The sequence below is a fragment of the Homo sapiens genome, chromosome 8 (assembly GCF_000001405.40).
Source record: "Homo sapiens chromosome 8, GRCh38.p14 Primary Assembly".
Classification (NCBI taxonomy): Eukaryota; Metazoa; Chordata; class Mammalia; order Primates; family Hominidae; genus Homo; species Homo sapiens.
Genome location: NC_000008.11, coordinates 111,610,165 through 111,622,914, shown reverse-complemented (window position 1 = coordinate 111,622,914; position 12,750 = coordinate 111,610,165). Strand labels below are relative to the sequence as shown.

The window sequence follows — 12,750 nt, the reverse complement described above, 5'->3', positions numbered from 1 at the left end:
AACAAAAGAGAAAATAGGCAAATGGGTTACATCAAACTGAAAAGTTTCTGCACAACAAAGGAAATACTCTACAGAGTAAAGAGACACTTACAGAGTGGAATAATATATGCAAACTTTACATCTAAGGGGTTAATATATGATACATATTTAAAAACTCAAATTAATAACAGGAAAGCAACCCAATTAGAAAATGGGCAAAATCCTGAATAGACATTTCTTAAAAGAAGACATACCAGTAGCCAGCAGGTATATAAAAAATGTCTAACATCCCTAATCATCAGAAAAATGCAAATAAAAAGCATTGTGAGATAACTACTTCACCCCAATAAAAATGACTATTGTAAAAAAGATAAAATACATCAAGTATTGGTGAGGATGTAGAGAAAAGGGAACTTTCACAAAATGTTGGTGGGAATGTAAATTAGTACAGCTATTATAGAACACAATATGGAGATTCCTAGAAAAAATAGAAATAGGACTACCATATGTTTCAACAATTCCACAACTGAGTATATATCCAAAGGAAATAATATCAGTATGCCAAAGAGACACCTGCACTCTCATGTTTATTGCAGCATTATTCACAATTGCCAAGACATGGACTCAACTGGAGTGTCCATGGATGAATGCATAAAGGAAATGTGATATATATATATATATACACAATAAAATACTATTCAGCTATAAAAAGAATACAATTCTGTCATTTGCAACAATAAAGATTAACTAAAAGGATATAAATATTGTGAAATAGGCTAAGCACAAAGAAACAAATACTACATAATCTCACTCACATGTGGAATCTAAAAAAAAAAATTGTATAGAACTAAAGAGCAAAATAGTGGTTGCCAGAAACTGGAGTATTTTGGGTGGGAAGAGGATGTTGGTCAAAAGATTTGAAAAATCTGTTAGATAGGAGGAGTAAGTTCTAGAAATATATTGTACACCATGGTGATTACAGTTAATCTATTGTGTTCTTGAAAAATGCCAAGACAGTGGATGTAAAGTGCTTTCACCACAAAACTGATAACTATGTCAGGAAATGCACATATTAATTAAATCAATTTAGTCATTCCACAAGGTACCTATACCTTAAAACATCGTGTTGTGCATGATAAAGGACTTAGAAAAGGCCAAGACAACGGTGGTTTCCTACTAACAGAGAGTGTGCTTGCAGTTCTTGCTGGTCTGTCTTCATCAACGCCTGAATCCAGGAACACAGCCATGGACATGTGGGCACAACTGCCACTGAGTACCATGCAGCCATCCTGGAGTACACACCACAAAGGTACTAGAACTGGTAGGAAGGGCATCCAAAGGCTTAAAGGTAAAGCATATTACTCTTTGTCACTTGCAACTTGCTGTTCATGGTGATGAAGAATTGGACTATCTTATCAAGATTACAATTACTAATGGTAGTGTCATTGCATACATCCATAAATCTCTGATTAGAAAGAAAACAGAAAACTGTCTAAAAGATGTCTGGATTCATTATTATCCCAGGACTAGAAAACAAAAGTTGTCTGGTGTTGGTGATTCCAGTGGACTGTATCTCTATGAAAAACAGTTTTGCCTTGTTGTAATTTTATGTGAGCAAGTTGGAAGTTTAATTCATTTTCCAACCAACCATCTTTCTACGTATGGGTCTTAACCATATTTAATTGTTGCTGTGGCTTCAAAGACCTTATTGATTCCTAAGTAGTGGGTTTTGATTGGGTTTACTTTTTAAAAACTGTTTTGATTTTAATTGTGATACAGAAGTTACAGTAACAAACATATGGTGTACAGACTGTATTTCCACTGTGGTGGGTAAGCTCAAATAAAGGTCATATTCTGCCTAACCCTGCAAAAAAAAACCACCAATCAACAAAATAAAATTAAGTCAACCTTGCTGTTGCTATGCTGAGAAGGGCATGGGGTGTTGGCAGTATGAGCAAAAATGAAGTAAACAATATCATTAGGAAAATATAATATTTCTTGTGACATATGATGTTAATTTAAGTTAGGATCAGGGAATTGGAGATGAAAAACTTATTAATAATTAATGATATGTTTTGGAGTTAGAATCATGTTGTAGAAATTAAAGTAAGATAAATCAAGGGTAATTTTTAGGTTTTATTCATAAAATTTTAATACTGCAAAAAATAAGCTCAAAGTGCAGCAATTTAATAAGACATAAGCTTTGATAGAAATTACATTGCAAAAAAATCTTTATACTTGTACCACTGAACTGTAGAGATAAGCTAATACTCTATTTTGTTTACCTTTGTCTTCAAAATTGCTCTCACTAAACACTCTTAATTTAAAAGTACACAAGCATTCCCATTTGAGTAGTTAGCTACTGGACAATATAGTCAAGCAAAATTGATTCAAATGTATAATCTTGAAATAAAAAGCATGAAACCTAAATTACACAAAATCATGTCAAATTAATCATGAAGTTCTGTTTCCAACAGTCCTCCAACGTCATATTTAACTGGTGATAGTTGCATCTGTTGAAGATATCCTTGTTTTTCTTTGACAAAAAAAAAAAATTGTAAAATATTTACACTGTCATCCTTGAATAAATAAGGATTTTTTTTTCTCCTGATTTAAGGTATTTTAAGAAATCTGATAATTTTATTGAGGCCTTGAAATGTTCAGAATGAAGTAAGTAGACTTGATCTAGTTTGAAACTGATCTATGTAAAGAATAGTAATTAAATTACTATGTTTTAAGTTAAATTAGTGATAAATGCATTATTCCCTGTAGGTTTCTCATAAAATTCCTTTCCTCCATAGTTCTCATAAACTCTTTTGATTTTAAATTAATATGAAGATATCACAGATTATATAGGTAATTTAGATATACAATGCTGAAAATATGTTCTGAATAATCTTTTTTATGTAAAACCCATTAGTATTAAAAATTAATTAGAAAAAAAATCAGGACCAAATGAGTATAAAGGATGATTAAGTGCAAAAGCATTGTGCAAGATGTGCTTAATTAGCCCTTTGGTGTAGGCTTGGGCTCCGAGACAGGCTTGTGACTTGCAGGTAAGAATTAAACTGTCCCAATTATGAAGCAAGAAAGGGATTCCAGATAGATTCCATGTTACTGGTCAAGGAACAAATAAAACTGAGGAATAATGTTTAAGAACACAAGTTCAAAACTATATTAATACAAGTCTTAATTGGCAGAAAGTAGATAAAAATGTACTAAATATTGGAAGAATTTTTTAATATTTGCAACCTGTAAATATTAGAACATTTTGTTTCCAGTAACATGCCTAGCTGGATTACTTAAGACATTCTGTATCTGAAAAGTATCCCAAAATTCTGGCTAAAATATTTTATGCAATTTTGACAGGAACATAAAAGAGCTGGCTTGAGAGTCAGTGAAAGCTGGAACACAGGGAGGACAGGACAGGACTGAACACAGTGGTCTGCAGAGTACTAAAGCTGCTGTCGCTCTGATGGTGGTTGTAGAACTTGCTAATCTTGAGCTTTGAGCTCTGATTTAGTAGAACACAGTGTCTAGGCACTGCCTCAGATGTGGAGTTTTATAGGAAGCCATCTTCCATAAAGCTCTGGACTCCAAAAGTCTATACTTTCAATATGATGTCTAACCAGCAATAAACACATTCTCCATCCTTATCTGGAAGGCAATATCTTCAAACTACTAAAGAGACTAAATGGCAAGGTGGAATCCTACACACTGTAAAAATATATTTCAAGAACAAGTGTGTACTAAACACATTTTCAGGTAAAAACATAACATTAAAGAATAAAATCTTCAGACCTCACCAGAGGAATTCTAAAGGGTCTACTTTAGGCAGAGGAGAGTGATCCAAGCAGGAAGGTGTGAAATACAAATGGGAAGACATAAACATGAGATAAACATTTTCACATATCAAAAGGCATATTAACTATATGAAAAATTATTGCTCCGTTGTTGATGGACATAAATATACATTATTTTAAAAGTAAAATTAAAAATAAATAAGATAAAAAAGATAAAGAAACAAAAATAAAAGGATCAAGCAGAGATTAGAGGTAATGAAACAAGAATTATAATTATTCAAGTTTTATACTGTACAGTAGAAGTAATGAAAATCAACATACTTTATATAAGAAAAATTCCATTGGAAAGTGAAATAAAATATACCATATACTATTTACAATAGCATACAAATGTGATATGCTGAAAAAATTAATTACATAACATATAATCATACATTATTATAATACATAATAAATTGAAAAGAAATCAATCAATTAATAGATATACCATGACCAAAGACTGGAAGAACAATAAACAGTAATAATAACAAATAATCACAATAATAACCCCTTCAGGTAGTTTTGTAGACATTGATAATGAGCTTCTAATATCTTTCTTGAATAAAAGTAAGATAGTAGCACTATAGGAATAAAATAGAAAACCTAAAATATACCCAGTCATTATATGAACACATCAGATCAATAGATAGAGAAACAATTTCTCAATAAATATTGTTGAAACAGCTTTGCATCTGTGAGAAAAAAAATGATGCTGGGCACATTACCTCATACTGCAAGTAAGATCAATTTCAGGTGAAGTGAAGACATAATTTATAAAGGAAAACCACCTTTAAAATATTGAAAAATGGTTTGTGTATTCTGGTTAAGAATGTCTTTTAAAAGACACAAAACTACAATAAAGAAAAATTTTAATTTTTGAGAAATTAAGAACTGTTATTAATTGAAAGACACCATTAAAATTAGAAAGACAAGCCACAAATCGAAGAAGATATTTGCTTCCAAAAATGCATAATAAGGGAAGTATAAACGTTGGAAAAGAACTCCTATAAGCCATAATGAAAATATAAAAAGTAAATTGGTATGTTCATACAAAAATACTACACAATAATGTAAATCAACAGACTGTAGCTGCATATGTCAACATGGAAAAATCTAAAATATCGTATTTAGTGAAAAAATCAGGTCACAAACATGTATAAAGAGTGTTTTTAATTGTCTAACATTTTAAAGGGTCACAGTTAAACTATATTGTTTAAAACTGAATCCATAGGTTCTTAACTCTAAACTAAAACAATAGTATAAATATGACAAAAATGGGGATATTGGCTGACTTGGCACTGAAAAAAATGTTATGAGTTGGGCATACAGAGAATCTTCTACAATATTCTCGATAGAGTTGATTTATAATTTTTGAACTGTTTCTTGTGTTTTAATTTAGAACTGTTTTATTTATGGACTATTAATTAAATATCCTTTAAACAAAACGATGAATTAAAATATTTATCTAATTATTATTTTATTTAATTAAATTTTCTGCAATAGAGTCCATGATGTCAGAATAAGTGAATTTTGGCATACCTTTTGTTAAACCAGGAGAAGCAAATATTCACAATTATTTAATATATATTTGAATATATTATAATGAAAGCTATACATATTAAATGTCCTGGTGTGTTAGCTTGGGTTATTGTTTTCCGCTGTTCAATTCCTCCTACCTTGTGGCAGAAGATGCGTAGAATATTTCCTTGCACTATTAATGTTGCTCTTAGCCATGACTTATTTTGGTGAAAGAAATGTAGAAAGAAATATCAGTCTATTAGTTCTGAGCCAAAAACTTAACTACTTACCTGCTTTATGGTCCCATAATCTGCCATGAGAAGAGTGTGTCTCAGATTGCTGTTGACCTGAGGACAGTGTGGGAATAGTTAAGAGGAATTAAATTAGATCCACAGTCTGGAGTTCAGGCAAGCCCATCAGAGTACTAACCAACAGAGTCATGAAGGAAAAATAAATAGAGTTGTCCCTTGGTATCTGCAGGGAATTGGTTCCAACCCTTCCATGCTCAAGAGTCCAAAATCCTCAGATGCTCAAGTCCCTATATAAAAATGGCATAGTATTTGCATATAACATATGCACATTCTGTTAAACACTTTAAATTATCTCTAGATTACTTATAATACCCTTCACAGTGTAAATGCTATGTAAATAGTCATTATAATATATTGTTTTCAAATTTTATATTATTTTTTATTTTTGAAATATATTTTATTTGCAGTTGGCTGAAACCATGGATGTGAAACCTGCAGATACAGAGGGCCAGTAGTACATATTGTTAAAAGCTGTAGTGTGTGGGAGTAATTTGTTTCACAACATCATTGCAAGAATAGCTTACTAAGATATATTGGAACAATCAAATGGAAGAGATTAATTCTGCCATTAGTGGAAAGTGTTAAGCAAGGCATGAAAGAGGTGATGGCATTTCACCTAGACCTTCAAACATAAGTTGACCTTTGGACTAAATTGCTTAGCTCCTTACCTTATATTTATATTTGTCAATTCAATCAGTGTAATGGAGTATGAACATTTATTGATTGGTACCTTAAATTACATTGGTAGCAAGTTTGAAAAAGGCTTTGAGAAAAGACTTCCATAGCAATCATCAGTGTAGTGATGGGTAATACAAAAAAGTGTACTGTCTGTGCTTTTAAAATGAAAACCTGATCTTGCAAAATAGTTCACTTTTATATTTCATATAATGTAGCATTTCCGTAAATCAGTTTACAATTTATGTTGTTACTGTCTGGAATACTATAATTTTATATATTTTAAATGACATTTGTCTGGATAACTCCAGCCTACACACTGTCACCAAGTTGTTTATCACCCTCTGCAATACATCAAAAATGAACAGTGGTTCATTTCTCCTTTATGTCAGCAATCACAAATGTAATAATAAAATGATTTGTATAAATACTTGGTTAATCTTTATTTTATTTTTCCCTAATTGGTTGTAAATAAGGACAGAGACTGTGTCTGTTTGGATCCCTGTTATAGAATTCCTGGACCATGGAGGGTATTCAATAAATATTTATTTAAGAAATTTATCAATAAATTAGAGAGCACAGACTTTAATGTCAGATGAATCTGAGTATGAAAATCTATTATATCTTTCACTAAATTTGGATCCTATATAAATGATTCCCATTCGGTATTCCCATTTTTCTCATATGCAAATCTGATGTGATGAGAATTGGAGAAATAAATGTAAACATCTCACATAAATGGTAGTTATTATTATTTGAATGCTTTGTAGTACAGGTAGACATTTAGGAGAGAGAAAAGGTGCACATCCAGTTTTTCTGGCCAATTCAGTTTACTGTAAAAGTTCAGAGGGCAAACATGTCTTATACAGGAATAAGGACATCTGAATAAACAATGTGTTTACTAGGTCTTCTGCTGCATAAAAAATTGGTTTCTGTGTGATTGTTACAAGTATGGCTCTGGCAGCAGATTTTTATAAGTGACCTATGTGTTCATTGTTTGTATTACCTAAACACCACCTTTCTGTGGTTATTTTGCTTGCTTCAAACATTAACAAAGAACACAAATGAAAATAAAAGAATTCAGAAAGACTTTTCTTTTAATTAAATTCCTCTTACAAAATACGTTTTTGCATTTTATTCTATAATTACAGCACTTAAAGTCTGTCATGAGAATTAGGCGTTTGGTTGCATCTTCCCATCTGTTTTCTAGAAAGCAAGCTTTCCTGGATTTTCACCTCTGCCCTCTTACGATCACCCTTCATTATAGAATATTTTTCTCATTGTCCTCAAGCTGCCTGGCTATTTAGGAAGCAGTAATGAGGAGGCTGGAGTTTGTTAAATTGTTTGTTGAATTATGCAGAAGTGCCTTGCTGTGCTTTAATTTAAACTAATAGCATTTCTTTTAATGCTGCTACACAAATAAAATACTAATAATTTAGCCTTTGTCTACCCCCCACTTGTTTTCCAAATATGAGAACATATACTTGAGGTAAAAAACAGACAGAGATTTACATGCTTCCTTTAGCTAAGTAATATTATGCATATAGGAAATAATCACTATTTCCCCCCCAATATCTTCAGGCTATTTTATATGCAAGAAAACTCTAAACACTATAACATTGTCCTTCCTGTTCATGCGGAATATATCTGGTGGGTTATGTGAGACTTTAAAATAGCTATGCCTTCACTCCTGTAACTAAATGCAATCTGTATTAGTCCAGTCTCACACTGCTATGAAGAAATACCCATACTGGGTAATTCCTAAAGGAAGAGGTTTAATTGACCCACAGTTCTGCATTGCTGGGGAGACCTCAGGAAACTTACAATCATGGCAGAAGGTGAAGAAGAAGCAGGAACCTTCTTCACAGGGCAGGATGGAGTGAGTGCAAGCAGGGGAAATGAGACGCTTATAAAACCCTCAAATCTCATGAGATTCACATCACAAAAACAGCATCAGGGAAACTGCTCCCGTGATTCAATTACCTCCATTTGGTCCCACTATAGACATGTGGAGATTATGGGGATTACAATTCAAGAGGAGATTTTGGATGGGGGCACAGCTAAAACTATCAAATCCAAAGAAAGTATTTTTTTCTAAAAAAAAAAAAAATCACATTTATTTATGTATTTATAACTTATAAACTATGAAATTTACTATTTTTAGAATACAGTTCTTTAAGTCCAGAGAAATGCAGATAAAGCTATGCTACCACCATCAGAAACTTAATGCAGAACTACTGTATACCCCAAATAATCCTGTCATGTTGTCTTTTCTAGTCAACTGCTTACCCTACAACCTCTGAATAACACTGATCTATTCCCCATAATCAGAAGTTAAGAAATACATTTTTTAAAATTATAGGTACTTATTATAAGATATTTTCAGTTTTAACCTGCTTTAATTTTGAGAATTTTTACTCATTTTGCATCTAATGCAAACAGTGAGTTTATGGAATTTTTACTTAATCAGCATTCCCAGACTGATGCTCTGCAGAAAACATTTCTGCAGAATAAAACACTAGGTGTGTTATTTTTAAAGTGTTTCATGTTGTAGTTTGTTTAGTAATATTTGAATTAATCTATCTTTTCAGGTAACCATTCTCTATATTTACAATAAAATATTTGTAGAATGGTTTCTATTGATTGTTCATTTGGATGCAGAGTAAAATAAGAAGTAGTGTGAGATGTTGAGATCAATTCTATTTAGAATGTGAGATATTGAGATCAATTCTAATTAGAACAGTAGACAAAAAACAAGGCAGCTGACACATAATAATTACATTTTTATTTTGTGAATCAAAAATTACTGAAAATCTATATAAATTTAACCAGAAATCCAAACAGCCATATAAAACATAGGAAGATATGAAACAGTCTATATTAACATGTGTAGATGTGAAGATGTTTATATGCCTTTATGATTACAATGAATCAATCCAAAAGGTATGAAAACAATATCTGAAATTCAGACTCCCAACATTTGAAATTGGTAATTCCCTTGAAAATCATTGGCATATCAGCACAATATGTGCATATGCAATTGTCTGCTTTAAATTAAAGCCCAATATGGGGTGGAAAGAATGACAGAGGACAGGCAGTACACTCTGAGCCTGTACTTGATTTTTGATAATTTTGTGTTACTCATCTGGTATAAAAATGTTTTTGACAAAATGATAAATACTTATATAAACTTTAATATTATAGCAATTCAAAGCTGCTTTTAAAACTAAGCACAATGAATCAATAAGTCTAATCTTTTTATGATTTCTTTTTTTTTTTTTTTTTTTTGAGACAGAGTCTCACCCTGTTGCCCAGGCTGGAGTGCAATGGCACGATCTCAGCTCACTGCAACCTCTGCCTCCTAAGTTCAAGCGATTCTCCTGCCTTAGCCTCCCAAGTAGCTGGGATTACAGGAGTGCACCACCACGCTCGGCTAATTTTTGCACCTTTAGTAGAAACAGGGTTTCACCATGTTGGCCAGGCTGGTCTCCAACTCCTGACCTCATGTTCTGCCTGCCTCAGCCTCCCAAAGGGCTGGGATTACAGGTGTGAACCACCACGCCCAGCCCTTTTTATGATTTCTAATTCTCCTAATAGAATATTGACATCTGTTAGTCTTTTCCTCCAGCTGTGTACAATAAGAAACAGGACACATGCAGATGAACAACAGTTTTCAGATATTGAACAACAGGCAGCAGAGGATTTGTTGCCTGATAAAGACGCACAATAAATGAGGTAAGTCCTAGTGATAACAGCAGGAGCCAGAAAAATTCCTAGGAAGATAGGGGTGGGTCTCCAGTGAAACCTGACCTTTGAAACAAAGACAGTCTGAAGTCTGAAAACCAGGCTGCCAGTTCTGGGTAGAATCCATGACCTGGTGTGAGAACTTGCTTGATGCCTTTCAGTCATCAAATGGTGCTTTTTCCAGGCCCATCTATGGATCAATCAGCATGCATGTCCTCCATTCTTGCCCATAAAAACCAAAGACTCAGCCACACTCAGAACTACCTGCCTGCAGGTAGGAGCTACCCATATCAGGTCTCCTTTCCTCTGAACACTGTTCTGTTCCTCAATAAAACTTTTCTCTTTGCTCCCCACTGTTGCTCAGCCCCTCCTGTTGTCCATGTAACCTCATTCTTCCTGGACACAGTACAAGAACTCAGGACTTGCTGAACAGTGGGTATGAAAAGGGCTGTAACATGTTCCTGGCTGGCTTGCCAAGCTGTGGGCAGGATCAAAAAGGCTTGTAACATGTTCCTGGCCTGCTCACCAAGCTGCGGGCAGTGACACACTTCTGTTTGCTGGATGGCAGGAGTGAAGAACGGTGACTCTTCTGGGGTCCCAGACCTCTGGATTCCCTGAGCCCTAGCTGTAACACTACAGCCCTCCCTCCCTCTGCCGGCATCAGGCAGCTGCCCCATATGAGGGAAGTTGCAGTGGAGCTGGGCCAGCCCAGGGGCTGCAGGCTGGGTCGAAAGGGTGGGACTAAATGAGCTCAAACGCACCCACCACCCATTTGCCAAGCTGTGGGCGGCAAGAATGAGAGAGCTGTAGCACACTGCCCTACACCTTGTGCCTCTGCAGTTGCTGGCATCTTCAAGTTTTCACGTGCCACTGTGTTCTCCTTGTCCAGACCCTGGTGCCTGCAGTGAGAGCTGCTTACAGTATGCCCGGTGTAGCCACAGCCTTGCAAGAAGCCAGGGCCTGTGCTGGCTCCTGGAGCTGCCTGCTTTGCTGCAGCAGCCAGGGCACCTAGCTGTGCAAAGTGGCTGGACCCTGGACTCACTCATTCCCACATACCTCACCACTCCCCGCCTGGCTTGCCCTCGGCAGGTGTGGGATTCAGGCTGGTAGCACAATCCAACCGCAGCCTGCCATGCCAAGTAGGCAGAATAAGACCAGCAGGCACAACTAAAACTCAAGCAGAGGCGTTACTGGCCACAGAGGTTTCTGGCTAGCAAACTGACACCCAGAGGATCCTGTGACACTAACAATGTCATTGTTTATTCACTGGGTGTCATTTTCCAGGCTACAGAGCATGGGATAGGGGAAATAAAGATTAGATCGTGGGAAAGTCAGGGCAGAAAGAATTTATAATTCATAATATGGGAGAAGAGAAGTTGCACGTAGAGAGAAAGAGAGTGTACATGTTTGGCTGATTATTGATTTGTGGATGGATGAGAGGAAATTATCTGAAGCTAGTAAAAATAGAATTTGTTTTTCAAGATCTCACAAAGGATGGGAAATGCATCATGATCACTCTACCTGCAACGAAGAGATCTCATATTATAAGTCTCTGGATAGAGTCAAAACGAAGCTTAAACAATAGAGCCACAAAGGATAGAGATGATGGAATTAGTAAATAAGAATCTCAAAACTATATATAAACACACATGTATATATAGGTGATCCTTGTATAACACACTGGGGTTACAAAATACAATAATTGAAATTCCAAAAATGCATGTTATAATAACAAGTAAATTAAACACAGCAAAATAAAAGATCAATGAATTTGAAGGTGTCGTGATAGAAAATGTAAAAACTTCTATTCTTACGACTTCTATCCTACATTATACTAGGAGTCCTAGCCATTGTTTTAAGGGGAGGGAAAAAAACACTCATACACGTTAAAAAAGAAGAAGTAAATGTTCTATATTCACATATATGTTTGCTTATTCAGAATATTCTGAATAATCTTACCAAAAGTTACTAGAAATAAAAAGTGAATTTAGTAAGATCATAAGTAAGCAAACGTCAATTTAATTTTAATATGCTACTAATGAAAAATTAGAAATTCAAATTAACTAAATCCTACTTATGATCATTTTAATACCACATATTTTAGCATCTAAAAGCATAGCACATTTAAGGGAAATTTTAGTGAAACATTGAAGACCTATAAACTGAAAACTAAAATACTCTTGTTGAGAGAAACTAATGGTGATCTAACTGAATGAAGACATATATAACATGTTAATAAATTATAAGATTCAATAATGTTAAGAAGTCAGTTATCTCTTCATAGATTTATAAATTCATTGCAAAAATGAACAAAATTCCATAGGCTTTGTTTTTGTTTTTGTTTTTGTTTTTTGAGGTGGAGTCTCGCTCTGTCGCCCAGGCTGGAGTGCAGTGGCGCATCTCCATTCACTGCAAGCTCTGCCTCCTGGATTCACACCATTCTCCTGCCTCAGCCTCCTGAAGTGCTCTTGGGATCAACCCTGCAGAAGAGAAGGGAAGATAGCAGATTGGGCAAGGGAGGCTTGCACTACCCTGCAAGGAGTTTTGAAGCTAGGATGCCCTTCAGAGTTGTCCTGAGTTTAGACAAAAGGGCTGGGATTATAAAACTTACATTGAGTCATTAGATGTAGTCCACTCCCCAGAAAGATGTGATCACTTCAGCAAAGTCCCCCAAAAGGACT

General features: G+C 34.7%; 1 pseudogene, besides 2 other annotated features; it reads left to right on the top strand.

Moving 5' to 3' along the window:
- Positions 1,118-1,457, top strand: H2AZP7 (H2A.Z histone pseudogene 7; annotated as a pseudogene).
- Positions 10,464-10,963: an enhancer, noted in NCBI's record as "H3K4me1 hESC enhancer chr8:112624181-112624680 (GRCh37/hg19 assembly coordinates)". NCBI's record gives its function as "activates a minimal SCP1, AML or CMV promoter by ChIP-STARR-seq in primed H9 embryonic stem cells {active_cell/tissue: H9 hESC(primed)}" and the evidence as "EXISTENCE:reporter gene assay evidence [ECO:0000049][PMID:30033119]".
- Positions 10,964-11,465: an enhancer, noted in NCBI's record as "H3K4me1 hESC enhancer chr8:112623679-112624180 (GRCh37/hg19 assembly coordinates)". NCBI's record gives its function as "activates a minimal SCP1, AML or CMV promoter by ChIP-STARR-seq in primed H9 embryonic stem cells {active_cell/tissue: H9 hESC(primed)}" and the evidence as "EXISTENCE:reporter gene assay evidence [ECO:0000049][PMID:30033119]".